This window comes from Homo sapiens, chromosome 22 (assembly GCF_000001405.40).
Source record: "Homo sapiens chromosome 22, GRCh38.p14 Primary Assembly".
In the NCBI taxonomy this organism is placed as follows: domain Eukaryota; kingdom Metazoa; phylum Chordata; class Mammalia; order Primates; family Hominidae; genus Homo; species Homo sapiens.
In genome coordinates this window covers 17978358-17993514 of record NC_000022.11, presented here as the reverse complement: position 1 = coordinate 17993514, position 15157 = coordinate 17978358, and the positions used below count along the sequence as shown (strand labels likewise).

At 48.5% G+C, this 15157-nt stretch overlaps 1 protein-coding gene and 1 non-coding gene across 2 annotated transcripts in view, besides 3 other annotated features; both read left to right on the top strand.

Moving 5' to 3' along the window:
• Positions 1-15157, top strand: part of MICAL3 (microtubule associated monooxygenase, calponin and LIM domain containing 3) — a 236913-nt gene that overhangs the window by 31047 nt on the left and 190709 nt on the right. The gene's annotated exons all lie outside the window — the stretch shown is intronic.
• Positions 868-1372: an enhancer, noted in NCBI's record as "H3K4me1 hESC enhancer chr22:18474909-18475413 (GRCh37/hg19 assembly coordinates)". NCBI's record gives its function as "activates a minimal SCP1, AML or CMV promoter by ChIP-STARR-seq in naive H9 embryonic stem cells {active_cell/tissue: H9 hESC(naive)}" and the evidence as "EXISTENCE:reporter gene assay evidence [ECO:0000049][PMID:30033119]".
• Positions 1373-1877: an enhancer, noted in NCBI's record as "H3K4me1 hESC enhancer chr22:18474404-18474908 (GRCh37/hg19 assembly coordinates)". NCBI's record gives its function as "activates a minimal SCP1, AML or CMV promoter by ChIP-STARR-seq in naive H9 embryonic stem cells {active_cell/tissue: H9 hESC(naive)}" and the evidence as "EXISTENCE:reporter gene assay evidence [ECO:0000049][PMID:30033119]".
• MIR648 (microRNA 648) lies at positions 12554-12647 on the top strand. The gene has a single exon (NR_030378.1). It is a non-coding gene; the product is annotated as a microRNA 648 (primary transcript).
• Positions 13698-14076: a silencer, noted in NCBI's record as "fragment chr22:18462205-18462583 (GRCh37/hg19 assembly coordinates)". NCBI's record gives its function as "represses an EF-1alpha promoter that drives an FKBP-Casp9 reporter gene in an ReSE screen in K562 erythroleukemia cells {active_cell/tissue: K562}" and the evidence as "EXISTENCE:reporter gene assay evidence [ECO:0000049][PMID:32094911]".

Here is a 15157-nt window from a genome sequence, read left to right as displayed (position 1 = left end):
AGTTGTGGAACCCAAGCAGATCCATTATTGCCCCAGCTAAACTCCTTTGTGATGATTCTTTTAAGAGAATGAGCTGGGCCAGGGGTGGAGGAAGGCAAGTGGAGGGAGAGCATTAGGACAAATACCTAATGCATGCGGGGCTTCAAACCTAGATGACAGGTTGACAGGTGCAGCAAACCACCATGGCACATGTATACCTATGTAACAAACCTGCACGTTCTGCACATGTATCCCGGAACTTAAAGTAAAATTAAAAAAAAAAAGCCATCTGGGAATCCTAATCACTGTGTATAATTGGCACATGAACTTATGGAACAGAACCTTTTACCCAGTTTGGCCATGAGTAGTCAGAGTCATTCATTTCCCTGTGAAAAAGGAAAAAGGAAATATTTTAACTAGTGACATGGGCTTGGGTCAGTTTCTTTCCAAAACAGATAGGCTTTCTCAAAACCACCCTTGCATGGGTAGGAAAAACAAATAAACTTTCTGCTTTTGGTATTCTAAGTACCTTTAGACAGTGGGGCCTGTGGACAATTATATAAGAAAGTCATAACAGTGATCGCTTCGCCTTACCGTGGCCAGACTGCGCACACATCATTTCTAGTCTTCAGGTAGAGTCCTTTCACCCCATTTTACAGCAGGGAAGCTGTTCCAGTGAGGTAAAGGGCCATAAACCCAATAATTTGCATAGCTAATGACTCCAAATCCCGTGAGATAAATGTTCAGGGAGCAAAAGGAAGAGGAATGGGGCAGAAAAAGACAGTATGAGGCAGGGAAGAAATTCACAGGTGGTAGCTTGAATTGGCGGCCTCCGGGTTTAGTGAGCACCGTGCTAGGCCCTAGTGAGGGGTGGGGATACAAACAAGCCCCTGGGCCTCAACCACCCTCAGGGAGCCAGGGAGCAGGGGGGATTCCTACTTCAGGAATCCTTTACACACTGACTTTTTTCAGCACATTTATTGAGCATCTGTTGTATGTAAGTGCCACGTGGTAAGACAGCCTGTGTCTGCAAGAGGTTGATATTTCTAAGGGGTTGGATGCATTGTCAGCCATGCAAGTGCAGTAACCTGGATTTAACTGGCCAGGAAGCCCTGGACGTAGAGTGCTAAGCAAATTTATGCCAACTAGTAAAATATTCTTGATTTGGTTTTATTTCTTGCACATAAGATTGAGAATTTCTAGAATTTGCCTACCCCCTGTGTCTGCTGTTTGTGGAATGTTTGTGTTTTGCAAACAGGATCATTTTGCAACTCCTTCCTGAGGACCAGCCCTGCACTTTGGCTGCAGGAAAGGCTGGGACCATTTCCCTTGCCTGCAGGCTGCCCTTGGGCCCGTCACCACTTTGGAGCTGGTGCTCTCAATGTGCTTGTCCTTGCCCAGCTACTCATCGAGAGATATAGGTGCCCCAAGTGGACTGGGCAGCCCTTCCTAGAGGAGGGTTTTGCAGTCTGTGCCCTTTCCTAGGTGCTCTAGCAACGGTGGGTGGGAGCAGTCCTGGGCATGGAGGCGCCTCATCCATGCTCTGGGCATTAGATTGTTCATGCTGCTTCTACGGCTCCTTTCTAACCCTAGGACCACGGTGCTGTGTCTACCACGGCCTCGAAGCTGGTTGGAGCCTTGTAATAATGTCATTAGCCAGCACAGTAGCGAGCCCCCCATTCCTCCATCTCCCTGAAGTATTTCTTTGTCATGTGCTGTATTTGGAAGCTGACGTGTTGTGGGAAAAGGCCTAATAGGACTTCTTACTACTGGATATGATGAGTGAGATACCGTTTTGCTTGGGTTTTAACCTTTTATTTTCTAAGACCTTTGGTTCCATTTGATCAGGTCCATTCAAATAGAAATTACTTATGTCTTCTATAAATGAGTTAAACACCTGATCTCTGCTTCCTGCTGTATTAATATAGCTGACTGGCTAACATGAAGGACACTTTTACATGCTGCTTATGACAAGTTCCTTCTGTGCATGACCACCAGCCCAGGGGAAGGGTTCATGGCTTTAAGGTGTCTCTTACCCTTCAGGCAAAATTGATGTATGGAAACGTGGATTTATCTTCAAAATAAACTAGTGTGTATCTGTACGTCTTGACTTGAAATTAAATTCTTCACAGTAAAAGAATTTTGCAACAATTCCTTCTGTAGGAATTTAAAAATTTACCTTGCTATAGACAATATTTTAGGCAGTCTGATATCCCACCATTGGTGGGAATGACTGCCTGTCACTTTCACCTGCCTGCCCCTCTTTGTCCCCCTACAGCACTTACACACACGCAGGCTCAGAGGCACAGGTGCTCCTGGCTCTGCCTGCAGCCTCCCAGGCCTGTCATCTGGGCCTGTTGGTGCGGCACATGGATCTAGGTGCTGTCACGGGCTGTCAGTTGTGGCACGTCCTGGCAGGGCCTGGCTGGCCCAGCCTCTGCTCATGCAGTATTCATCTGCACGCCAGGAGCCGTGTGGACCATCTCTGCTGCGCTGCCCCACTCAGCTCCGTGTGCAGTTGCTTTCCTTTAATGCTTGTCTCCAGGCCATTTTTGTAAGCTTTTATGAGGTCCAAATGCTTAGGCACAGGCAGGCAAGAAAATCCAGCAGGGCATATAGATCATTCCCAGTAGTAAAAGAGGTCAAGGGGTTTGGCTAAAAACCTCACTTATATTGGGATATGGGAAAAGTGGGAGAGAACTGATTTCTCAGGAGTCCGCTTCATAATATGTGTCATGGCATGATCGCCTTCAATCCTCATGACAATCTTACAGAGTTACCCGTATGAGGCCCACTTGAAAGATGAGGCGCAGTGAGGTTAGATGACTTGCCTGAGATCTCTCACCCGGTAAATGGTGGAGCTAAATCAGAGTAAGACACTCAAACTGTGTTGTGGTTAAGAGTTTGGACTCTGGAACCCGACTGTGCTGTACTATACCGGTTACTAGAGTGTGTGACCGGGAGTGTGTTCCTTATCCTCCCGAGACTCAGTTTCCTCATCTGTGCAATGAAGGGCGTAACAGTCCTACTCACCTTGTATGGTCACAAGCATTTAGAATCCTCCCAGCACGTGGTAAGCACCCAGTGAGCACCCCACGCATCAGCTGGTACTGTCACTGACTGGTGCTCATGAAACTTGGAATGGAATTCTGAGGCTTGGGGCTTCCTGTCATCCAGAGACAGTCTTCAGGGGAGCATGCTGGGTCCAGACTATCCAGTGAGTCAGCACAGGTTTCTTTGCGGTGTTTGGATGGGTGAGAATGAACAGTGCCCTCCAAGGGGGAGTTCTTTCCTATCTTGCTGGTCCCCTCCTCATCCCGCTTGCTCCCGCTCTCTAACTGCCTTTCTCATCAATATGAAAGCATCTGCAAAAGCCTGCTCTCTAGCTCACTCCTGATCCCCTGGGGCTTTGCATTTTTTTTTTATTAGCAATTCTTTAAGCCTCCTGAAATAACTTATTTATTAAAGTTGTATCCGTTGGTCCCTTTTTCCACGTGTTGTGTTGCCCTGGGTTTTAGGGCAGGGGCGGCTTCATGAAAGTGTACTACGACCTTGTCTCTGCTCATGACAAACCTGCCTCAGGAGAGCCAGGGTAATATACACAACAGTTATGGGGAAGAAAAGGGATGAAATAGGCATAGATGGTGTGATTCGGGAAAACAAGCATGCTAACTATTACTTCTTGAAAATCTATTATATGCCAAGCACTGGTTCAGAAGCTTTATATGCGTTGTCAGCCCTGCAAGTTAGGGGATACTGAGTCATTCCCTCTTTACAGATGAGGACCCAGAGACAGAAGCATCTTGTGCAAGGGCACTTGGCACATGGGTGAGAGGAGTTGGGGGTTTGAACCTGTGACCATGTTGACTTCTGTGGGCCTACGGAGGAGATGCAATTTGAACTGTGCTCAGGCCATGGTAGGATTGTCTTAAGTGAGATGTGGGGGTGCTGGGGTGAGCGCAGGCTCAGGGTTGAGCGTGAGCAGCATGCATTCAGGGGCAGCGAGGAGGCCAGCCTGGCCAGGCTGGGGTTGCCTTCAGCATTGATGAGCTGCTGTACCGGGTTCTGTCTGGGTGGTGGGAGATAAATAAGATGTATTCCTTGCCCTCTGGGATCTTGCTGCAGCTGGCAAGACAGACACACAAATAGTTGATTTCAGCGCTGTGTGGTAAGAGCTATGATGAGGGTAAGTATAGGGAGCTGTGGGAGCAGAGCACAGGGAGCTGGGAGCATTCCCAGAGCCTTGCCCTGACTGCAAGGGCAAGGTAAGGTAGCGGCAGGCTTAGCGGTGGAAGGCAGGAAGGGCTTCCTGAAAGGCAGAGAACAGCATGAGCAAAGGCATGGCGTTGAGGGCTTTCTTGTTTATTCTCCTGGTCAAATGGATGTCAGGGTACAGTGTGGGCTTTATGGGCATCGGGGAACCTGCCGGGGGTTTGAACACAGAGCGACGGCGGAAGTCGAGTTTTAGGTCAGTTAATCTTGTGGAGGCGGGAGAACTGAGTCAAGCAAGATCAGCCGGGGAGGAGTCAGCAAATTTGTTTCTGTAAAAGGCCGGAAGGTAAATGTTTTAGGTTCCATGAGCTGGTTGGACTCCGCGGCTGCTCCCCTCTGCTGTTGTGTGAAGGCAGCCACAGAGAGCACAGAAGTGGATAGCTGTGGCTGGATTCCAGTAATGCTTTTATTTGTGGCCTCTGAAACTTAAATTTTATGTCATTTTTACATGTCACAAAATAGCTTCCTTTTAATTTTTTTCCCCAGCCCTTTAGAAATGTAAACACCAGGCCAGGCGCGGTGGCTCATGCCTGTAATCCCAGCACTTGGGGAGGCTGAGGCGGGTGGATTACGAGGTCAGGAGTTCAAGACCAGCCTGGCCAAGATGGTGAAACCCCCGTCTCTACTAAAAATACAAAAAAATTAGCCGGGCGCGGTTGCAGGCGCCTGTAGTCCCAGCTATTTGGGAGGCTGAGGCAGGAGAACCACTTGAACTCGGAGGGTGGAGGTTGCAGTGAGCCAAGATCGCGTCACTGCACTCCAGCCTGGGCGACAGAGTGAGACTCCGTCTCAGGAAACAAAACCAAAAAAAACCCAGAAATGTAAACACCATTCTTTGGCCTGCAGGCTGGATCTGGCGTGTGGGTGGTGGTGTGCCCACCCCTGGCAGATGGGGATGATTCAGGTGTGACATGACAAGGAACTGGAACAGGATGTTGGCAGTGGATGTGGAGTGGAAGGGACCTGATGCCAGATACATTTTGAGAAGAGGACACTGATAAGATAGAAAGGATAAGGAGAGGGCAGCGCCCCGGATAATGCTGGGTAGGTGCCTTTCCAGCCCCCTGTTGGTAAAGCTGGCCTTGTTTTCCAAGTGCCAGGAGTATGACTTGGTTCTGAAGAAAAACCCAAGAGATATCGGATGCTCGCAGACTTCCATCAGCATTGTTAGCTGTCCCCATGTCTCCCTGGGGGCAGTGCTGTGCCGGTTTCTCTGCTGCCTTGGCTTCGGGTGTTCTGGGCAGCAGGTGCCCCCTGCTGTGACTGGGGCAGCCTGCCCGCCTGTTTGTGGAGCCACAGGTAGCCACCTTTAGGGCAACTCTATTTTGATATAATTTCCTGTTTACAGAGAAGTTGCAGGAGGAGTGCAGGCACTCCCCATCTATTACCTGGATTTATTAGATTTGATCGTTTGACCCCATTTGCTTTATCATTCTTCCAGTGTGTAGATGCATTTTTTTCAGACCAATTTGAAAATTGAAGACATTGTGCCCCTTTACCCTAAATAATTCAGTGTGGGTTTATGAAGAATAAGGATGTTCTTGTCCACACCACAGGACAGTGATCGAGAAAGTTCCCAGTGACAGTGCTGTTTCTGTCTTTGAAGCTAGCATCTCTCCAATTGCTCTTGCTCGGAGTACCTGCCATAGGTAAATAGTGACGTGGCAGCTGTTCCATACAGGTGGGTAGGTACCTGCCCGTCTCTGCACCCACACACCTGCAGCGGTTCCCCAGCACGCATGCTAGGCTGCCCAGGGGGCAGAAGGCCCAGCAGTGGCCTAGAGGGAGAGCAGGCCTAGGGCTCACCGATCACTTGTCTTGAGCATCTAAGCTGCAGAGGGCGGGGACCGTACTTTCCTTCACAAAGCTCCTGCCAGTCCCTGCTGCCTCCAGGAGGAAGGCCATCTCCTGAACAGAACAGCCGCTCAGTTACAGTTCCAAACACCTTCTCTTTCAGCTTTCCTCTCCTCCATTGCCTGTCAGTCTGTGGAAAATGATTATTCTTGTTTCTTTTTCTTTTTTCGAGTTAGGGTCTTGCTCTGTCACCCAGGCTGGAGTGCGGTGGCATGATCATAGCTCACTGCAGCCTGGAACTCCTGGGCTCAAGCAATCCTCCTTCTTCAGTCTCCTGAGTAGCTGGGACTACAGGCATGCACCCCTATGCCTGGACAATTTTTTTTTTATTTTTAGTGGAGATGGGGTCTCGCTGTGTTGCCCAGGCTGGCCTCGAACTCCTAGTCTCAATGATTCTCCTGCCTCAGCCTCCCAAAGCGTTGGAATTACAGATGTGAGCCACCACGCCAGTCGAAAATGATTCTTCCAGGATGGATTTTTTTGTATGCTTACTCTAGAAAATAAAATGGAATTAAATTGGTGTAATCTACTTTGGAAATAAATGGGAGAAAAGAGGTATCCTACCATTTCTGATGTAGGACAAAAAGGCATTTTCTTTTGGCTACTTAAAAGACTGAAACTAGAAATAGGGAAGTGTCTGATGCATATTCCTTAATTCCTTATGAGTAGCCTGCATAGTTCAAGGGGAACTATGGGAAAGAAATCTGGGCATTCTGTGCGTGATGAGACAGGAGTAGAGGGATGCATTTTTCTCTGTGTGAAGTGGGTGACTCACTGCGTTTAGCTAAATTCTCTGTGACTTAACTAAATGCTCAGTCTTTGCCTTCAGCCTACTTAGATGGGATCGGGACCCTGTACTGTTCGGTCATTACTTACCTCTTTTTTTTTTTGAGACAGATTCTCGCTCTGTTGCCCAGGCTGGAGTGCAGTGGCACCATCTTGGCTCACTGCAGCCTCTGCCTCCCGGGTTTAAGCGATTCTTCTGCCTTAGCCTCCCAAGTAGCTGGGACTACAGGCGTGTGTTACCACACCTGGCTAATTTTTGTATTTTTAATAGAGACAGGGTTTCACCATGTTGGCAGGCTGGTCTCGAACTCCTGACCTCAGGTGATCCGCCCATCTTGGCCTCCCAGAGTGCTGGGATTACACGCATAAGCCACTGTGCCCGGACCAGTCATTACGGACCTCTTAAGAGTCATTCTTGTGGCCGGGCGAGGTGGCTCACGCCTGTAATCCCATCACTTTGGGAGGCCGAGGTGTGTGGATCACAAGGTCAGGAGTTCAAGATCAGACTGGCCAAGATGGTGAAACCCTATCTCTACTAAAAATACAAAAATTAGCTGGGCATGGTGGCGGGTGCCTGTAATCCTAGCTACCTGGGAGGCTGAGGTAGAGAATTGCTTGAACCCAGGAGGCGGAGGTTTCAGTGAGCCGAGATTGCTGCCACTGCACTCCACCCTGGGCGACAGAGTGAGACTGTCTCAAAAACAAAACAAAACAAAACAAAAAACAAGAGTGATTCTTGTGTCCCAGCACATCTGAAATTCAAGAGTCATGAGTTCTGCAGGGCCTGGGGCTGGGCCTGAGAGAAGGTGGGTGGGTCCTAAAGGAGGGTGAAGATGCGAGTGGCCTCTGCAGACTCTGATCTCCCAGTCTAGATGAGAAAGCCTCGATTCTGCTGCTGCACAGTGAGTTCAGGTGAGTTACCTGATGATTTTGCCATTTGTCAAGTAGGGTGGAATTGGCTGCCTACCAGTTTAAAGGGGCCTACTGGGAATAAAATTTGAATATAGAATTGGGCAGGCATGCTTTGAAAATACAGAATACAAGCGCCATTTACTTCTGCTTCCCCGCCCCAGGCAGAGGCTACTGCTCACCACTAGTGTAGGAGGACCAGTGACAGAGGTGTCAGAAGCTTCCCTGGCAGGACCTGCTCATCCTCCCGGACCTTGTAGTTTTGTGGAATCTGCAAGGCAAGGCAGACAGATCCAGCAAACATCAGCTTGAAAGTACCAGGGACAAGCAGAGGGAGTAGAGGTTACGGGCTCTGTTCTCAGAGTTCACGGTTCATGTTGGAAGTCAAGGTGAATACTGAAAGAGCAGCACGGCCCACCAGGGAGGCAGGGAATCGGGCACGCAGCACGCTCGGGCATTCTGCTGCACAAAAGGCAGGGGCTGTCCCCTCCCTGGCCGGACCTTCCTCCCGTGCTCCAGGCACACCCTGCCTCAGGACTGTGGGACAGACTCCCCCTCCCTGAAACACTCTTTCCTGCAATATTGCATGCAGACTCCCTCAACTCTTGCGTGGCTTTGCTCAGATGTCAGCTCCTCTGGGAATCCTCATGCCTCCCAGTTTAAAATGTCAGTGTGTCTCCTTCCCTCCGTGCTCCGGATTCCCTTTACTCTGCTTTACTCTCCATTTTTCCGGGGCACTCACCCTCTAGCATGCTGTGTTGCTCACTCATGCTTACTGAGAGGTGGAGGGCCTGGGCTCTGGAGCCAGGCTGCCTGGGGTTGAGTTGTGGCTTCACCACTTGCTACTCGTGTGGCTTTGGGTGGATTATTTAACCCCTTTGCCTTGGTTTCCTCATTTGTATGAACAATACCTAACTCAGAATTTTTGTGAGGATCAAATGAATTTATATTTATAAAATGCATAGCATAACACCTGCCATGGAGTCAGTGCTATAAGCGTTTAATAAATACAGCTTTTATTGTCCATCTCCTCCCACAAAAATGGAAGCTTCATGAAGTCAGAAACCCTGTTTGTTTTGTTCTCTGACAGATCCCTAAGCATTTAGAGCAGGACCTGGGGCAAAGCAGCCCATCTGTGTTCACTGACCAAGTGACTGGGTGGGGCGTGGGGGGTGGGGGGGAGGTCTGGGAAGGCGTCAGGGAGCAGTGAGGTGTGGGTCAATGCTGTGGGTGGCACAGGCCACTGGGTCCCTGTTCCAGCTCTGCATCGGTGTCTGCGTAATCTTGGACCAGTGTCTTTATCTCTCCGAGTCTCCAGGGAGGCCTTCCTCGCAGAGGCGTTCGCAGGATTAGGTGAAACACTGTATGGTATGTGTCGAGCGCAGTGTTGGCCTGGCTGGCAGCAGGTGGTTGGGGAATGTTAGTTCCTTTCCTTCCTCAGCACCCCTGGAAGAAGTGAGTCAGGAACTGGCTCTCAGGGCAGTGGAGGAAGTGGGTTGGCAGGGAGGGACCAGGGAAATCCTGAGTCTAGGTGTTGAGAGTGGGGCAGAAACAAGATGTCAGATAGATGGAACTTGCCTGGCAGGAGTGGCTTCTAAGAAGAGCTGTTGATTGTTGAACTTTGACGATAAGGTGAGGGTTTGGATTTTTTGGGGATAGCTTTATTTTGGTATAATTTCAGAAAAGTTTGAGAATAGTACACGAGTTCCTATTTACCCTTCACCTAGAGTCACGATGATTTGCGTTTTGCCCCATTTACTTTTTCATATTTTTTTCTTCTCTTTGAATTTTTTTCCCAGAACAATTTGTAAATTAGTGAAAGTGTCTCCCTTGACTCCTGAATCCTTCAGTGTCTGTTTCCTGGGAACAAGAATATTCTCTCGGAGTCTGATAGGGCACCTTTAGCATAGGGTTCTTCCATAGGAAGTGGCATGGTGTGAAGGTGTCCAGAGAGGATGAAGGTGTGGCGGGCAGTGTGGAATGGTGTCCACTGGAGGGTGGGGTGGTGAGGACAGGGTACTAACTGGGGACGGAGAAGAGGCGTGGACCAGAAGACCTGGTGTGGGACAAGCAGCACTGCCTTCTAGGGAGGTAAGCCATGTGGAGACTCTGAGGAGGCAGATTTAGCTTCAGCCTTGTACTTGGGAGTACAGAGTCAGAGTTTGGAGGTGCAGCTGAGTCTGAAGGACACTGCCGGTCTCCATCCTTGGGGCGCACAGGGTTCTGTCATGAGGATAATAGGTAGAGATGGTCTCCATCCTTGGGGCGCACAGGGTTCTGTCATGAGGATAATAGGTAGAGATGAGTGTGCCCATAGTCCTGTGTGGACTTAGGAGTTACTAGTGACAGCAGCAGGTGAAATTAAGACCCTTGGTTGTTAAAAGAGTGGGAAGGATGCTGGGAAGCCAAGGGCCAAAGCCAGCCTAGGGGGGTGCAGGGAGGGTCCCAGGGAAATGGGGAGGGGTGAAGACCCAAGGAGGTTGAAGGGAAGGTGGTGCAGCAGTGTGAGAAGAGACAGATTTGGCCACGCGCGGTGGGTCACAGCTGTAATCCCAGCGCTTTGGGAGGCCGAGGCGGGAGAGACCAACCTGGGCAACAAAGTGAGACCCCTTCTCTAAAAAAAGAAAAAACAGTAGACAGAATGAGAGAGACCTGCTGAGCTAGAAGAGACCCATGGGGCCCAGAGGCATTCCCAGGCTGTGGCCTCAGCCCAAGGTCCTTCGTTTCTGAGGTACTTTTTGGACTCTGTCCTTTCCAGATGAGGAGCCGAGCTCACAAGCTTTAAGGAATACCCTGTGACTAACGCCACCCAGGGTGCTAAACCCAGTCAGACTGTTGAAGGATTTAAAATGCGCTTCCCTGCTACCTAAGTGTTTCTGTGGAAGAAGTACCTCAGGGAGAATGTATTAAAACTTTTTTATTTTATTTTATTTTATTTTATTTTACTTTATTTTACTTTTTTATTTTATTTTATTTTATTTTTATGTTATGTTATGTTTGTTATGTTATGTTATGTTATGTTATGTTATGTTATGAATTTTTTTGAGATGAAGTCTTACTCTGTCGCCCAGGCTGGAGTACAGTGGTACAATCTTGGCTCACTGCAATTTCTGCCTCCTTGGTTCAAGCGATTCTCCTGCCTCAGCTTCCCAAGTAGCTGGGATTACAGGTGCCTGACACTGCGCCTGCCTAATTTTTGTATTTTTAGTAGAGATGGCGTTTCACCATCTTGGCCAGGCTGGTCTTGAACTCCTTTCCTCGTGATCCACCCACCTCTCCCAAAGTGCTGGGATTACAGGCATGAGCCACCGTGCCTGGCCAAGAAAACATTTTATATTTCAGCGTATGCTGAGTTTTTAAAATGGCATTTTCCCCCGTTTTTGAAAAGATAACGTGTTGCACGTGCAGTTTCTCCAGTGCCCGGCTGTGGGAAAGCCTGCATTCCCTTTGGAGCACAGACTTCAGGAGTGAAGCCACTGCGGGGCTGTGCTGTGTTTCCACAAGTGCCGTCACCACCTTTCGTGTACTGAATGCTGGGAATTCAGTAGTGAGCCGTGGCCTACCAGAGCCAGCTCTTAGCCTCTTATTAATTTTTTTTTTTTTATTTTTTGAGACAAGGTCTTGCTCTGTTGCCCAGGCTGGAGTGCAGTGGTGCAGTCTCGGCTCACTGTAACCTCGACTTCCCAGGCTCAGGCGATTCTCTCACCTCAGCCTCCTAAGTAGCTGGGGCTACAGGCAAGCACCACTACTCCCTGCTAATTTCGTTAATTTTTTTGTAGAGGCAAGGTCTCACTATGTTACCAAGGCTGGTCTCCAACTCCTGGGCTCAAGCGATCCTTGTACCTCAGCAGGTGTGGGCTACCTCACCCATCTCTTAAGGAATTTTGCAAGTTGGTTGTTAACTGCCGCCATTATAATTAAATGAATTATAATAAAGGCAAAGGTAATAAATACTCAAAACTCATCACTTCCTGTTGACCTTAGCATCGCCTGTGCCATCACACCTGCTGTGTCTGTGGTGGAGACACCAGGTAGTGCTGTGCATGCGCATCTGTTCCCAACTGTGTCTGCGCTCACATGTCATGTTGGGGGCTGGACATTAGCCTTGGTGGGAGCATTTACACCATGGACACTCGCAAACACAACACATTAGGGCTGGGTTTATTGTTTTGTTCATTGAGAAAGTGATGAAAAAAAATTTAACATTGCAGTTTAAACTTAGTATTTTGTGTCTGTAACCATTATATTGTGAATAGTACAAGAAAATTGAGTAAATATTCTTCTGGTATTTGAAACTAGTGTCCAGTTCAGCAGAGAAGTTGCTTATATCATGATTGATCTTTATCTTCTTTCTTTCACTTTTGTTTTATTCCTTAGAGTCAATAGTCACAGATGTAAGAGTTGGACCAAATTAAAAAAAAAAAAAAATCTAGGAAAGCATTCTGGGAGAATCAGGTGGCTCAGTGGAATTTACAATGAAGAGTATTACAGATTTTATTCCTATGTGCTTTATTAAGTGTATAATTGTGTATTTTATGATATATATTTATTACTGTATTGTATATGTTATTACCATTGTGTGCTGCATATCTTTTATATCAGTAAAATTGAAAATAAATGTGTCCATATAAATACATGCACATGTTTTTGGAGACCAGTCTGTTAAGCATTTGCCAGCACAGTACTGCAGTGGGTGAAGTAAATACTGCCCTCCTGCAGTCCACAGTGTCTGGAGGGGACCAATAGACAGATGATCACAGACACCTCCAAGTGTGCAGGGCACTGGTGGGGGCCGGGGCAGGCCCAGCGAAAGTGCAGGACCTGGCACTTAGTCGGAAGTGAGGGTGCAGTTGAGCAGGAACTGAGGGTGACGGGCCAGCACAGCCGCATCTGGGCGAGGCTGAGGCAGAGGAGCAGACGGGCAGCTGGTTTGCTGCCGCGGAATGATAAGACGGGCGGAATGATAAGACGGAAACTGTGGCACTCTGGAGAAAGTGGGTGTGGCTGGAGTGCACAGCTGCTCGTTGTAGGTTGCATGAAGGGCATGTTGACAGCCTGAGGATTCTGCCTCCTTTTCTCCGTTGCCACAAATACTTATAGGCTTCAGAAAAGAGGTGTTAAAGTAGTAATTGTTGTGAAGTAAATACTTAAGTTCAGCAAATACAGACTGTCCAATTCCTGTGTTCAAGACTCTGCTGATGGTTTTCCAGGAGCTGAAAGTTGTCCTTGCCCACTAGGAGGGTATTCCATGGTAGGGAGCCAGATGTGTGTGCAGTCAGCTGTGATAGCAGGCGGATTTGAACAAAATGCTGTGGAGGAGGCCGTTAATTCTGATTGCGGAATGGGGAAGGCAGGAAAGTAGTTTGCAGCAATTTCCTTTTGGAAGCCCAGAAGAATATCCCTCCTTCCACCAAAGGCCCTTTCCGTCTTTATTTCCCAGTTTATCTCCATTCCCCTGCCCTGAGCTGCTGCTGTTTCACGAATGCTAATTCGGCCTCTAGCCAGACTGCTAGAGAGGGCTACATCCCATGCTTCCTCCTGTTCCTCAAGAGCTCATATTACCCACTTTCAGAAAGACTTGCTGGGGGCCAGGTGCGGTGGTTCACCCCTGTAATCCTAGCACTTTGGGAGGCCAAGGTGGGAGGATCACTTGAGCCCAGCAGTTCCAGACCAGTCTGGACAATATAATGAGACCCCTTTTCTATACAAAATTAAAATATTAGTTAGGTGTGGTGGCATGTGCCAACAGTCCCAGCTCCTCAGGAGGCTGAGGCCAGGAGGATTGCTTGAGCCCAGGAGGTCAAGGCTGTAGTGAACCATGATTGTGCTGTACTCCGGCCTAGGTGACAAAGTGAGACCCTGTGTCAAAAATTATAAAAAACCAAAAACAACAACAAAAAAACCTGTGGGTTTTTTTTTTGTTTTTTTTTGTTTTTTTAAATCCACCAGTAAAGCCTCATAGCAGCACTCCAGTTGAGAAGAGACTTTAGACAGAGATCAGCCTGATTGGTGGTGTGCTGGGCTGGGAGAAGGTGCTGGAGGGATCTGTTTCCTCTAGGCTGGGACTGTTGTAGAAGGCGCTGGATGCCGTGGGGAATTCCTCTAATGAAATCTTTGGTAAAAAGACTCAACATCTCTATTCTTTTTACCAACGTTTACATACTGTTTTTGAGATGGAGTTTCACCTTGTTGTCTAGGCTGGAGTACAGTGGCTCGATCTTGGCTCACTGCAACCCTCACCTCCTGGGTTCAAGTGATTCTCCTGCCTCACACTCCCGAGTAGCTGGGATTACAGGCGCCCAGCACCACTCCCAGCTAATTTTTGTATTTTTAGTAGAGACGGGGTTTCGCCACGTTGGCCAGGCTGGTCTCGAACTCCTGACCTCAGGTGATCCGCTCGCCTCGGCCTCCCAAAGTGCTGGGATTACAGGCGTGAGCCACTGTACCTGGGCCGTTTACATATGTTTATACCTACTATATGGCAGGCCCTTTCGAGAATATGGTGACTCATAAGACATGGTTACTCCCCTCAGGGTTTTTTTAGACAGGGTCTCATTCCTGTGCCCAGGCTGGAATGCAGCGGCATGATCACAGCTTACTGCAGCCACAACCTCCTGGGCTCTAGTGATCCTCCTGCCTCAGCCTCCCAAGTAGCTGGGACCACAAGTGTACCACCACACCCAGCTAAGTTTTGTATTTTTTGTAGAGATGGGGTTTTGCCATGTTTCCCAGGCTGGTCTCGAACTCCTGGGCTCATGCAGTCCTCCCGCCTTGGCCTCCCAAAGTGCTGGGATTTATAGGCGTGAGCCACTGTGCCCAGCCAGTTTTTTTTTTTCTTTTAAACAGCTTTATTATATAATTCACATACCATTCATTCATTTTAAGTGTACCGCTCAGGCCAGGCACGGTGGCTCACACCTGTAATCCCAGCACTTTGGGAGGCCGAGGCGGGCAGATCACCTGAGGTCAGGAGCTTGAGACCAGCCTAGCCAACGTGGTGAAACCCCGTCTCTACTAAAACTACAAAAATTAGCTGGGTGTGGTGGTAGCTGCCTGTAATCCCAGCTACTCTACTCAGGAGCCTGAAGTAGGAGAATTGTTTGAACCTGGGAGACGGAGGTAACAGTGAGCTGAGATTGTGCCACTGCACTTCAGCCTGGGTGACAGAGGGAGACTCTGTCTCAAAAAAAAAAAAAAGTGTACAGTTCAATGGTTTTATTATATGCAGAGTTTTGCAACCATCACTACAATCATTCAATTATAGAACATTTTTATCATCCCCAAAAGAAGCCTTGTACCCATAGGAGTTACTGTTACCTTCTCCAGCCCCTCTCCTGAGCCATGGCCAACTACTCAT